The following is a 12,191-nucleotide window of genomic DNA, read 5'->3' as shown; positions in this document are numbered from 1 at the left end:
ACATAGCAAGAGGCTTTAAATACTGGGTATCCAAAAAATGATAGGGGTCCTAAAACCAGATCCAGTTACCTACCTATCATCCAAGACCTCGCTTGAGTCCTTTTGGGTGCTCCCAACATTAGTGTCGTAAAACTAAATACAGGTGATGTGAGCAGTTGTTCACTGATGATTCTAATGCTCTCTTGGAATTCATTGTTTCTCTGTTATGGTGTTTCATAGTCTTTGTGGCAAAAATAGCATTGCATCATTAAAAGTATGTTACTGTCTGGGCGTGGTGGCTGAAGCCTGTAATCCCAGCACTTTGGGAGGCCGAGGTGGGTGGATCACGAGCTCAGGAGATCGAGACCATCCTGGCTAACACGGTGAAACCCTGTCTCTACTAAAAATACAAAAAATTAGCCGGGCGTGGTGGTGGGCACCTGTAGTCCCAGCTACTCAGGAGGTTGAGGCAGGAGAATGGCGTGAACCTGGGAGGCGGAGCTGGCAGTGAGCCAAGATCGCACCATTGCACTCCAGCCTGGGCAACACAGTGAGACTCCGTCTCAAAAAAAAAAAAAAAGAAAAAAAGATATGTTACTTTGCGAGGCGCAGTGGCTCACACCTGTAATCCCAGCACTTTGGGAGGTTGAGGTGGGCAGATCACCTGAAATCAGGAGTTCGAGACCAGCCTGGCCAACATGGTGACACCCCGTCTCTACTAAAAATACAAAAAGTAGCCAGGTGTGGTTTTGCGGGTGCCTGCAGTCCCAGGTACTCGGGAGGCTGAGGCAGGAGAATCACTTGAACCCAAGAGGCGGAGGTTGCAGTGAGCTGAGATGGCGCCATTGCATTCCAGCCTGGGTGACAAGAGCGAGACTCCGTCTCAAAAATAAATAAATATTAGAAGTATGTTACTTGAAGAAAACATGCTGTTTGGAGAGATGGAGGGGCCCAGGTTCAATGAGTGGCTACGTGACCGACTAAATGAATTACGAAGTAGATGAATAAATACATGGATGTGTGTACCCGAGCCTCCCTTGGGTCCAGGACATGGTGGCATTCACACGGCCAAAGGTGGGACTGTGTCTCAGTGGGCACTCAGAAGATGGCCAACAAATGGATTTTTATCGACTGCCTTGTCTTCTTCATCTGTCTCACCACTGCAGGCAGGCAATGAGTAATGAAATGACAAGTTTAATTAGTGAATTCTGTTTTGTGGGGAGAGGACACTGAGGTTTTAAGGAAATAACCAGTTTCTCTGAGACCAGGATCATTTCATAAGCATTTATTAATCAGAGGTACATGAGCAGGCTCAGCCTAGGGGAATAATTGCCAACAAACACTTTTGGGAAGCCTGGGACCATGGCTCTGCCAGGAATCTGTGACATCTCCAGGGCATCATTTGAGTCCTGCCTTCTCAAAGTACTTGTGACAGGCAGACGTGATTGCAGCCACGAACACTATGAACTCACTGAAGTCCACCTGGGCATCTCCATTGGCGTCCAGGTCCTTGAGCAATTTATCCACGGCATCCTTGTCTTTTCCACTCTAGAGGAGAGAGAGGCTCAAGGTCAGCAGTGAGGGTGCCTGTGCAGGGCCTCAGCCTCCACCAAGCACTGCTGCTGGGCAGGAGCAGGGCACCCACATCTGCGTCACCTTTGCTGTCAGGGCCAGGGCCAGCTGTGCATAGCAGACACATGGCATTCCTGGCCTTAAGAACTTGTGAGCTGCCTTCAGCTATCTGGCATGACATGAACTAACTTGTAATGTTTTTAGAGCGAATTGGAATTGTGCTCTGCGAGAGGGAGTTTCATTTTGAGTTTTTGCCGGGGGTTGTCTTTGGATTTGTAAAGTGCTTTACAGTGATGGTTGTTCTCAGGAAATGCATCCAGTCTTTGCTCTATTTTTTGTGCACTGCTAACTTCATGGGCCTCCCATCTCGTGCTGGCACTGAACTAGCTGCTTACACAAACAGGAACTCCTCAACACCACCAGACACGGCAGAGGCATCGCCCTGTTACAGATGAAGATGATAAGGCCCAGAGGGCCCAAGGGACCTGCCCTGAAGTCACACAGGGAGCCGGGGAAAGCCAGGGTTGAGCCCCAGGTGTGGAGCGAGCATGGAGCAAGCACCCTGAGCCCTGTTCTTCCTCTCTGCTTGGGTCCCAAGCTCTCAGGTCTTCTTTGAGAAGGCCAGGCCGGCAGGGCTCTCAGAGCCTGCCCATGTGATAGCAAAGCGTTCTCACTGTGGGACCAAGCGGGACCAGGATGCAGATCTGAACAGCAGCAGCAGGGTGTGCTGATGACCCAGCCCTGGGCCAGAGAGCTGTGTGTCCAGGTGGAAAGAAACACAATTAAAATTGGTAGAAACATATCATCTGACCAAGACACAACTGTGTGCATGAAGACCTTAGTGACAGCATGGTTTGCAATAGCAAAAGTAAGGCAGGGAAGTACAAATTCAATAGCAAACAAATAGTGGTATGGCCATGTCACAATACCCTGCGGCCATTTCAAGTGATGTTTACAAAGTTTGTAGGCAGACAGTCACCTCGTATTTACAAAGCTCCGACTGTGCGGGGCGCTGGGTTGGGCACGGAGCAGATAGGGCCAGAAGGCCAGCCCAGCCCAGCCCTGCCCTCAGGCGGACATTGTTCTCTGACTCCGGCTTTGCTGGGCTTCAGCAGCCTCCGGAGGGAGGGCTGAGAAGGGCACCCAGGGCCTCCCCGAGGTGATTCTAATGTAACACATTAGCTGGACCCCCAGCTTTGCCATTGCTTCTCAAAGTGTGTTCCCAGGACACCTGTGCCTGCCCCTCCCCACACCCCAGTATCTTGGATCAAAGTCCTCATGGGTTCAATTCTCATACTTTGATCATTATCAGAACACCCCGAGCCCCAAGCCCAAGTTCCCAGGATGGGGCTGGGGTGTTTAATGAACATCAGAGTTTGAGAATTTATGTTGTAATGTTAAGCTCAAAAAGAAATTACATTGCATGTAAATCTCACTCACAGCAATGTTCATATGGGGAAAAGGCTGGAAGGGAGAGGAAGCGTCTGTATTCCAGGGGGGATTTCTTCCCTCCATATTTATCTATTTTTACATTTTCTACCAAAAACAGAACTTTATTTTTAAAAGATATCTTTACAGAATTCACATTTAGAAAATAGAACTAGGCCAGGTGTCGGGGCTCACGCCTGTAATCACAGCACTTTGAGATGTCGAGGCTGACGCATTGCCTGAGCACAGGAGTTTGAGACCAGCCTGGGCAACATGGTGAGACCTTGTCTCTAAAAAAAATACAAAAATTAACCGGGTATGGTGACATGCACCTGTAGTCCCAGCTACTCGGTAGGCTGAGGTGGGAGGATCACCTGAGCCCAGGGAGGTCGAGGCTGCAGTGAGCCGTGATCCTGCCACTGCACTCCAGCCTGGGTGACAGAGTGACATCTTGTCTCAAAAAAAAAAAAAAAGAAAAGAAAAGAAAATAGAAGCAATATTCTGAAGTGTTTCATGTCTTTGAAGTGATTCTAGGGCTGAAAATTTCAGGCTTTCATTTTTGATTATCAGCATCTATGTGGGTTAGCCCCTTAGCAGGTAGGCAGAGTCTGGTGGGGCCCGAAGGGGAGGGGAAGGAAGGAAGAAAGTGGGGGAGTGAGAAAGAAGGAGAGGACAGGGGTCAAAGGGAAGGGGAAATGGAGAGGGTACGGCTTCTGTTCAGCCCAGCCGGAGGCTGCCCCGGGCGGAAGGAAGCTGGTCCTGGCCGCCCTGAGGGGCCTTCTGTGAGGCTCAGGCCGGTGGCTCCTCCCTGGCAGGGAGCCCAAGGGAGGTCCACAGCTCTGCGCAGACAGGTGCCAGGATGGAGCCTCCTCCCGTCCTTCCTGCCAGACCCACTAATACCAGGCAACAAGGGGCCTGGGAATGGGAGCAGGGAAAGCGGGCAAGTGGGAGGCAGAGCTGGGGCGTTTATGGCCGGCAGCCTTGGAGGACAGCCCCGAGGGCTCAAGGGCTTGGCAAGCTTGGCAAACTTGCAAATGGCAGCCCTGGATTGCATTCCGCCCCTGCCCCCACTGCACAGGTTTGAGTCCCACTCTCCCACCAGGCCTGTCACAAATACACTGGGGTCAACCCCATGTTTCAAGGATCAAGCTGACCACACCCTCTCCCTGCTCAGATGCTCCCGCCTCCCCTGCCTTTATGCCAGGGTGGGTCCGTTCCTTGGCTGGGCTTCCAGGGCATTTCAGGATCTGTCCCTCTTGCCTCTGAGCCCCTTGACCGCCGACCCCACCGCAGCTCTCAGCCCTCTGCCTGCCACGCCTTCCCCTTCTTCCCCAGCCCCCGCTGAGTCCAGCACTGCCGGCCTGGCTCACCTGCAGGAAGCCTGGTAGCTCCTTCTCCATCAGCACCTTGAGCTCCCCCTTGGTCAGGGTCTGCGTGCTGCCCTCGCTGCCCGAATATCGGGAAAAGACGTCTATGATCATGCCCATGGCTGTCTCTAGTTCCGTCATGGTGCTAGATTCAGACCCACCTTCCTCCTGGGGGCTGGCAGGGCCGAGAAAATGTCCCACTGGCAGCCTCTTGGTGCTTTATAAGGCAGCCTCATATTGACACAGAGGGTGGGACAGTGGGGTTGGGACATTCAGGAAGTCCTGCCCCTCCCCATTCATGTGCTCAGTTCTGATGAAATGCATCGTTGTGATGACGTTTCTGGAACCTTTCCCCCAGCCAAGGCCCAGGGTGTGGGCTGCCTCCAGGCATCCACATTTTACAGTGTTCACCTGTGTCTCGGCGCCATCACTGAGCCACAGTGGCATCCTCATTCCTGGCCCTCCCTGGGTAAGTGGGCACGGGGTGAGTGTGTGTGGAGTGAGTGGTGACTCCGTGGCCCTTTGTGTCAATATCAGAGCGTGCTGGCACCCAGCGTGCTGACACGAGGAGACATCTGAGAGTGAATTCACATGGGCGTGTTTGTGAACATGGATCTGCCCCATCGTCCCTTTCTTAGAGCACTCTGTGTCCTTCAGAGGCCCAGCTTCCACGTCAATCTCGCTCGCTCCTCCCCTGTGGGGCCAAACAGAAAACTCCCCTTCATCCTCTGGGAGTTTGCTGAAAATCAACGGGCAGAAGGCAGATGAATAGGAGAAGAGCATAACAGATGTATTTGATCATAGCTTATGTGGCACGGCAGCCTTCAAGATGAAGATCCAAAGATCTGGTGGAAACTATCCATAAACACAGTTCAGCGAAGTATGGAAATATGATTGGATACAAAAGTAAGGCTGGATGCTCACAGACCAAGAGGAGAGCCTGGTAGGGCCTGTTGAGTCAGATTCCCTGGGGCCTCTCTGAGCAGCTCTCCTTCCTTCTAGGTGTGGGGCAGGACTCTTTCTGGAATGGAGCTCTTATGACCTACAGTCAAATAAAGCAGGCCAGAGGGTTTCTTTAGGCTGGTTTCTACACAGAAAGGGGAGGGAGTGGAGAACTGGAGTCATATTTCTGGGTTTTATGGCAGGGTTTGGGGAAGCCTCTCAGAGGAGGAGGAGCTGGAGACAGGAGGGTGGGAGCAGGACAGAGAAACTTTTGTTTCTGAGGCTTCCACGTTGGGGTGTTGTTTTTTGAGCCCCGGCACTTACCAAACCCAAATCACCCACAGGGCTTAGACGGCACAAAGGCTCCTGGGACTCTGGGCAGAGTCAGGGACAGTCACACCCCTCCCCGTCTCTATAGCGGAGGTACTCAGAGGGTCTGTGCTTGGGAGGCTGAGCGAGTCCTGGAGAGCATGGAGGTAGGGGCCTGTGTTCACATCCTGCCCCGGTCAAAGTAGGCCCACACTCAAAGGCCTCTCTCTCAGCAGAGATCTTCCAGAGTGTCAGCCTCCAGCAAGTTCCCTAACCTCTCCCAACACAGCCTCCACCAGCACATGGGCCGAGACTCTCCCCACGGGGCTGTGGCTCAACATAGAAAAACCTTGGTGCACGATGGCAGCAGCAGGTCTCACAAGAGCCGGCTTTCTCAGAACACACTGCCTCTGCCCAGGTGTCCTGCAGTGGAGGCTCAGACTGGCCCCACTGGTGACCCCTTGGGGAGCAGGGACAGGTCCATTCTGCTCACTCCTGAGCTGGGCAGTTCCCTCTTGGGATAAGGTCGCACAGCACAGGCCACCATCATACCACCCCAGCCAGAGAAGTGGGAGAGAGAAGGAGGCTCCCTACCCCAGAGGCAGTGCTCCTCAGGAAGGGCATTCACTGCGTTATATAGATATATATATACACACACACACACACACATATATATACACATATATACACATATATGTATACACACATATATACACACACACATATATACACACACACATATGTATATACACACACATATATATATAGATATACACACACATATATTTTTTGTTTGTTTGTTTGTTTGTTTGCGATGGAGTCTCACTCTGTTGCCCAGGCTGGAGTGCAGTGGTGTGATCTCGGCTCACTGCAACTTCCACTTCCCGGTTTCAAGTGATTCTCCAGCCTCAGCCTCCCGAGTAGCTGGGACTACAGGCATGTACCACCACACCAGGCTAATTTTTTGGGGGTTTCACCATGTTGGCCAGTCCGGTCATCACTTTGTTTTAAAATTTTTATTTATTTATTTATTTTTATTTATTTTTTGAGACGGAGTCTCGCTCTATCACCCAGGCTGGAGTGCAGTGGCACGATCTTGGCTCACTGCAACCCCTGCCTCCTGGTTCAAGTGATTCTCCTGCTTCAGCCTCCTGAGTAGCTGGGATTATAGGCATGCACCACCTTGTCTAGCTAATTTTTGTATTTTTAGTAAAGATGGGGTTTTACCATGTTGGCCAGGCTGGTCTTGAACTCCTAACCTCAAGTGATCTGCCCACCTCGGCCTCCCAAAGTGCTGGAATTACAGGCATGAGCCACCGTGCCTGGCCCCATTTATTTACTTTTAGAGACAGTGTCTTGCTTTCTCACCCAGGGTGGAGTGCAGTGGCTCAATCACAGCTCACTATAGCCTCCAACTCCTGGGCTTAAGTGATCCTCTCACCTCAGCCTCTCCAGTAGCTGGGACTACAGGGGCGCTCCACCATGCCCGACTATTCACTTTAATCTTTCACCGCTGTGGGAGGAAGGATCAGGACATCCATCGGGTGGAAACTGCTGCACTCCCCCACCCGTTCAGGCCACTGGAGTGTCACCAAACCACCAGGGCTGCCCCTGCTGGAGTAGCTCACCTGGGTAACTCTGAGGACAAGCCCCCTTGGAGACTCTTCTCAGGAGGGAGGTGGCATTTTCCAAGAAAGGGTTCAACACAGACCTCTGAGTCAGAGGACCAGTTAAAGAGAAAATTATTCTGACTTTATTCAGGAATGTTGCTGTAGGGGTCGTGATTATTGCCATGCGGGGAGTTGCCCTTGAGGCAGCTGGGAGTGGCTCACGCCTGTAATCCCAGCACTTTGGGAGGCCAAGGCAGGTGGATCACTTCAGATCAGGAGTTCGAGACCAGCCTGGCCAACATGCAAAACCCTGTCTCTACTAAAAGTACAAAAATTAGCCAGGCATGGTGGCGCGTGCCTGTAATCCCAGCTACTCGGGAGGCTGAGGCAGGAGAATCGTTTAAGCCTGGGAGGTGGAGGTTGCAGTGAGCTGAGATCGCACCACTGCACTCCATCCTGGGCGACAGCCAGACTCTGTCTCAAAAAAAAAAAAAAAAAAAGAGGCCAGATGAAGAGCTCGAACCACGAGCTTCTACATGTTAACCAGGGTAAAGAGCAACCGCTGACAGGAAGGGGCCCAGCAGTCAACCCCCGGGAAGGCCAGGATGTGGCCTTGTTTCGGCAAGGCCGCCCTATCACCACGGAGATGGGCAGGCAGGAGACATCCCCAGTCAGTCGGGCCCAGGTGGGGATCAGGAGGTTTCAGGAAAACACAAGCTATGCAGTGGGGCAGGTGAGGCTTGGCCTGCCCAGCCTGTCCTGAGTGTCATGGGAACAGCTCTGGAAGTGACTCCTCTGTCCTCTGGAATCTGGATCAGATGGGGCCTTCTCCAGACATCTGTGCTCAGCAGATGCGACAGACGGCCCCTCGAGTGTAGCCCAGGATCCAGCACCGGCCCAAGCAGGTGGGAGCTGTAAGTTGATCCAAGCTCTCCAGTCCCTGTGCTGGGCTGGGGGATGCACGATGAACGAGGCTGGGATCCTGGTGTCAGGGAGTACCAGCCACAGAGGGCGCCATGTGCATGGAGGAGGTGGCAAGGAAGAGGTGACTGGGAAGGGGAGAAGCAGAGAGGCCAGGAGGAGGGCGGGGCCTGTGCTGGGGGGTGGAGGAACTCATGCCCGGGAAGGGCATGGGGAGAGTGAAGTGGGAGTGGAGTGGGAGGCAGGCTTGGAGGAGTCGGTGCCTTGGGATGTGGGACAGTGAGGAACAAGGCACAAACAACCAGTCAGTGCTCTGGGGAATCAAGAAGTTGGGATGGGCAGCGGGGGTCCAGGGTGGAGATGGGCTGGAGGGGGAGGAGGGCACCAACCAGGGAAGGCCCCTCAGGGGCTTGATCCTGTAGTTCTGGGCCTCGCAGAGCCAGCCACACGTCCGAGCTCCTAGGTGATTTTAAGAACTAGCTCTTGCTGGGCCGCACCCAGGCAGAGCTGCCCGTTCAGTGGCTGGGCTGGCCCAGCACCTCCCAGGTGATCCTGTTGTGCCAGGTCAATGGTCTGGAGAGTTATCAGCCACAAGAGGCACCGTCAGGTTTGCCCTTTTGAGGCCCACATGGCCGCTGGTGTGAGACGCGGATGTGCACGGTGAGGCAGTGAGGGGCTGCAGGGTGAGGAGCCCCCAGCCATGTGCGGTTCAGGGTCCCCGCAGCACTCGCCCAAGGACACTGGGAGCTGGCGGAGGCCTGGGCAGGAGCAGGAAACTGAAGGAGGAGGAGGGGCCTCACTCATCACCTGATGAGATCTCCACACTTTGCAGAAGGGGAAACCGAGGCTCACAGCGAGGAACTTGGTCAACAAGCCCAGGCCCCTCCACCCTGCCCGCGTTTCCTGCACTGCACTGGATCAAACCGGTTTGATCCTTGATAATGCCTCCGACAAATATTTGATGAGGGAGGAGGCTGAGAGAGGTGAGGAAATCAGTTTCTCAGGGACAGGCTGGACACAGGGGTCATGCACCGGGTAGCTGTGAGGGCAGGGGTGGCGTCTCACCTCAGGGACACAGCTCCTGGGGAGGGCGGCAGAGACCCTGACAGTCTCGCCTCGCAGGCGTCTTTCTCCAGGCTAGAAACCAATGACTCATCTCTCAGGCTCTCTAGCAAACAGCGGGGCCCACACACCACAGTTGTGGTCGAATGTTTCCCTGAGGGCTACGGAGCCTGGTCTTGCCGAATACAAAGAGGAGGCTCTCAGCCGTCTGCTTTCTTCCTGCAGGAATCCTGGGCGTGATCTCCCTCGGCTACGTGCAGCCACGTGGAGACGCTGTGGGGATTCTTGTTGCTGGTGACTGAGTATTCCCAACCGGTAGTATTTGTTTTTTAGGGGCTGTGGAACAAATCACCACAAACTGGAGGGCCGAAAACACCAGCAATGGGCTCCCTCTTGGTTCTGGAGCCGAGAAGGCAGAAATGAAGGCGTCATCAGGGTTGCTCCTTCTGGGGCCTCAGAGCAGGACTCTGTTCCCTGCCCGTCCCCAGCTCCGGTGGTTGGCGGCCTTCCTCCGCCTGTGGCCCTGCACTCCAATCGCTGCCTCTGTTGTCACTTGGCCCCCCATGTGCCTCTGTGTCTCAGAAGGACACAAGTCATATTGAATTAAGGACCCTCCCTACCCCAGCATGACCCCGTTTTAACTTAGAACTTTCACAATGATCTGATTTGCAAAGAAGGCTGGATTCTGAGGTCCTGGGAAGGACATGAATTTTGGGGGATGCTGTTCACCTCAGTACACCGGTGCAGAGTTCGGTGACACCGCCAAGTTGCTTGACGGTGAGCAGCCTGGCATTGTAGAAAGGCAGAGGTTGACTTTAGTTTGGTCCCTGGCTTTGTCCTTTATTTGTTCTGTGACACCTTGGACAAGTTTTGTGACCCGAGTGTCAGTTTCCTAGGAACCAGTGACAATGATCAGAGATAGGGGGACTCAAGGGTAAGTAAAGTGCAGGATGAACTGCAGCGGAGCGTGTGAGGTGCCTGGCAGGTGTCGGCCACCCAGTGGCGCTCGAAGCACCTGCTGCTCCCTCCTTCCTCGCTCCCAGCTGCCTTCTCTGCTGGGAGCTCTTTGGAGAGGAGCTGTGTGACTGGTTCATCCTGTCCCTCGAGGAGCTACCAGTTCAGTCAAGGACATTGAGAAGCAGCGGATGGTGACAGTGCAGTGTGACAGTGGTGTGCTGTGGGAGCCCCATGGAGCGGCTACCCAGGCAGGAACGTCAGGGAGGCTTCCTGGAGGAGGTGGTGCTTCAGATGAGACTTGAAGGAGCAGAAGGTGTTTGCTAGACAAAGGGGCTTGCTTGGATGAATGGTCTTCAGAGCGTGGTCCCAGTAAGGAAGGAGACCACTACTACTCTTGCTGCCCTCCTCCCCCGACCTTGCCTAGTTTACAAGACAGGAGGAAAGAGAGAAAGCAAAAAGTTAGAAAAAAAAAAAAAAAAAACAGAAGTAAGATAAATAGCCAGAAGACCTTGGCACCACCACCTGGCCCTGGTAGTTAAAAAAAGTAATAATAATAATATCGACCCCTGACTTAAACTACTTGTATTATCTGTAAATTCCAGACATTGTAGGAAAAAGCATTGCAAAATTTTCTGTTCTGTTAGCTGATTCATGTAGCCCCCAGTCACGTTCCCCATGCTTGTTCGATTTATCATGACCCTTTCACGTGGGCCCCTTAGAGGTGTAAGCCCTTAAAAGGGCCAAGAATTTCTTTTTCCGGGAGCTCGGCTCTTAAGACGCAAGTCTGCTGATGCTCCCGGCTGAATAAACCTCTTCCTTCTTTAATCCAGTGTCTGAGGAGTTTTGTCTGTGGCTCCTCCTGCTACACCAGAACAGCAGGGCCGGCATCCCCTGAGCTAGAACAACCCTGAGGCAGGGCATCCACTGCAGGGAAGGCTGGGAGAGGGGCCAGAGAAACCTGTCAGGGGATTCTGATGTGTGCTCCGGTCTCAGGACATTCTCACAGGGGCGACAGGGACTGGAGCTGGGACAGAGTGTGGCACATCTGGAGAGATTGCAGCAGGGGCAGAAGCTGTGGGATAGGGAAGCAGCTCCATGTGGCGGGAGTCAGGGGGATGTGGATGGTGGGGGACAGAGAGCGGGATGAGGAATTTAGATATTTCCTAAAGCTGGAAGTCTGTGATTCTGCACCCCTGTGAGCTGCTGTAGAGTGGCTTTGGTGATGGACATGAAATATTAAACGCTGGCAAAGTGCCTGAACAGAAAGAAAAAGCCCACCTTCTCAAAGGAGATGCAGCAGGTTGCATAGTGTCTTCCAACCACCTTTTTTGGGCCAGGGTTCCATGTTCCACAGCCCCCCAGATCTGCGGGTCCCCACTACTCCTGCCTTCTCACTCAAGGCCTTCCTCAAGGCCACACCATCATCTCTGTTGAGTTGATTTCTTTTGTGAGTCAAGACTTCCAGGTGACAGAGTACCAGAAAACCCCTGACAATCTGGGGAGACTGGGTCCAAGTCCAGGACTGCCTGTGGTGGAGAGCACTCTGCTTTGAAGCATAGGGGACTCAGAGCACCTTCCTGCATGTGCTGACCCAGGCCTGGCAGATGCCCATCTAACATGCTAATGTCCTTCAGGCCAATGCAGTGGCTCGTGCCTGTAATCCCAACACTCTGGGAGGCTGAGGCAGGAGGATGGCTTGAGCCCAGGAGATCAAGACCAGCCTGGGCAACATAGCAAGACCCCATCTCTACAAAAAAATTAAAACCAAAAAGGCTTCAAATGTCTTTCCTCATCAGATCCCTCTGGCATGGACATGAATTCCTCCCTGTGACCTTCATTTTAAGTAGAAGCACAGGGACATCTCAAGTGTCCCGGTGGTGGCAGGAACGGGGCCCCCTGCCTGTGAGCACAGGGCTGGCTGGTGCAGGGTACTGGCCTCAGGTGAGCAGCCTGCCCAGCCCCTGGGTCACTGACTTCCTGAGTGACTCTGGGGCCCTTTCCTTCCTCTAGGGCCACTTTCTTCATCTGTAAAACAAGGGATTCA

General features: G+C 53.4%; 1 protein-coding gene and 1 long non-coding RNA gene across 2 annotated transcripts, besides 6 other annotated features; one reads left to right on the top strand and one right to left on the bottom strand.

Moving 5' to 3' along the window:
* Window positions 1-1,249: 1,249 nt before the first annotated feature.
* S100P (S100 calcium binding protein P) lies at window positions 1,250-4,542 on the bottom strand. The gene is made up of 2 exons (NM_005980.3): window positions 4,350-4,542; window positions 1,250-1,527 (listed from the first exon to the last, which is right to left on the bottom strand). The coding sequence occupies exons 1-2, from the start codon at window positions 4,485-4,487 to the stop codon at window positions 1,378-1,380; spliced, it is 288 nt and encodes a 95-aa protein (NP_005971.1). The 5' UTR covers window positions 4,488-4,542; the 3' UTR covers window positions 1,250-1,377.
* Window positions 1,574-2,336: an enhancer, noted in NCBI's record as "H3K27ac-H3K4me1 hESC enhancer chr4:6697811-6698573 (GRCh37/hg19 assembly coordinates)". NCBI's record gives its function as "activates a minimal SCP1, AML or CMV promoter by ChIP-STARR-seq in primed H9 embryonic stem cells {active_cell/tissue: H9 hESC(primed)}" and the evidence as "EXISTENCE:reporter gene assay evidence [ECO:0000049][PMID:30033119]".
* Window positions 3,539-4,274: an enhancer, noted in NCBI's record as "H3K4me1 hESC enhancer chr4:6695873-6696608 (GRCh37/hg19 assembly coordinates)". NCBI's record gives its function as "activates a minimal SCP1, AML or CMV promoter by ChIP-STARR-seq in primed H9 embryonic stem cells {active_cell/tissue: H9 hESC(primed)}" and the evidence as "EXISTENCE:reporter gene assay evidence [ECO:0000049][PMID:30033119]".
* Window positions 4,275-5,011: an enhancer, noted in NCBI's record as "H3K4me1 hESC enhancer chr4:6695136-6695872 (GRCh37/hg19 assembly coordinates)". NCBI's record gives its function as "activates a minimal SCP1, AML or CMV promoter by ChIP-STARR-seq in naive H9 embryonic stem cells {active_cell/tissue: H9 hESC(naive)}" and the evidence as "EXISTENCE:reporter gene assay evidence [ECO:0000049][PMID:30033119]".
* Window positions 5,321-5,858: an enhancer, noted in NCBI's record as "H3K4me1 hESC enhancer chr4:6694289-6694826 (GRCh37/hg19 assembly coordinates)". NCBI's record gives its function as "activates a minimal SCP1, AML or CMV promoter by ChIP-STARR-seq in naive H9 embryonic stem cells {active_cell/tissue: H9 hESC(naive)}" and the evidence as "EXISTENCE:reporter gene assay evidence [ECO:0000049][PMID:30033119]".
* On the top strand, window positions 7,901-10,972 carry LINC02481 (long intergenic non-protein coding RNA 2481). Its single transcript, NR_147207.1, has 3 exons — window positions 7,901-8,121; window positions 8,961-9,111; window positions 9,524-10,972. It is a non-coding gene; the product is annotated as a long intergenic non-protein coding RNA 2481 (long non-coding RNA).
* Window positions 8,632-9,831: an enhancer, noted in NCBI's record as "P300/CBP strongly-dependent group 1 enhancer chr4:6690316-6691515 (GRCh37/hg19 assembly coordinates)". NCBI's record gives its function as "activates an origin of replication core promoter dependent on BRD2, BRD4, P300/CBP, MED14 and CDK7 cofactors, with strong dependence on P300/CBP, by STARR-seq in HCT116 cells {active_cell/tissue: HCT116}" and the evidence as "EXISTENCE:reporter gene assay evidence [ECO:0000049][PMID:35650434]".
* Window positions 8,883-9,630: an enhancer, noted in NCBI's record as "H3K27ac-H3K4me1 hESC enhancer chr4:6690517-6691264 (GRCh37/hg19 assembly coordinates)". NCBI's record gives its function as "activates a minimal SCP1, AML or CMV promoter by ChIP-STARR-seq in naive and primed H9 embryonic stem cells {active_cell/tissue: H9 hESC(naive and primed)}" and the evidence as "EXISTENCE:reporter gene assay evidence [ECO:0000049][PMID:30033119]".
* Window positions 10,973-12,191: the final 1,219 nt, after the last annotated feature.

This window comes from Homo sapiens, chromosome 4, assembly GCF_000001405.40.
Source record: "Homo sapiens chromosome 4, GRCh38.p14 Primary Assembly".
NCBI classification, from domain to species: Eukaryota; Metazoa; Chordata; class Mammalia; order Primates; family Hominidae; genus Homo; species Homo sapiens.
Note: the sequence above shows the minus strand (reverse complement) of the source record. Positions and strands in the feature narration are given on the sequence as shown.

Excerpts from the sequence above, each read along its gene's own strand:
- S100P (NM_005980.3), bottom strand. The coding sequence starts at position 4,487 with ATGACGGAACTAGAGACAGCCATGGGCATGATCATAGACGTCTTTTCC. Across the intron at positions 1,528-4,349 it reads AGCTACCAGGCTTCCTGCAG|AGTGGAAAAGACAAGGATGC; the intron begins GTGAGCCAGGCC and ends TCTCTCCTCTAG.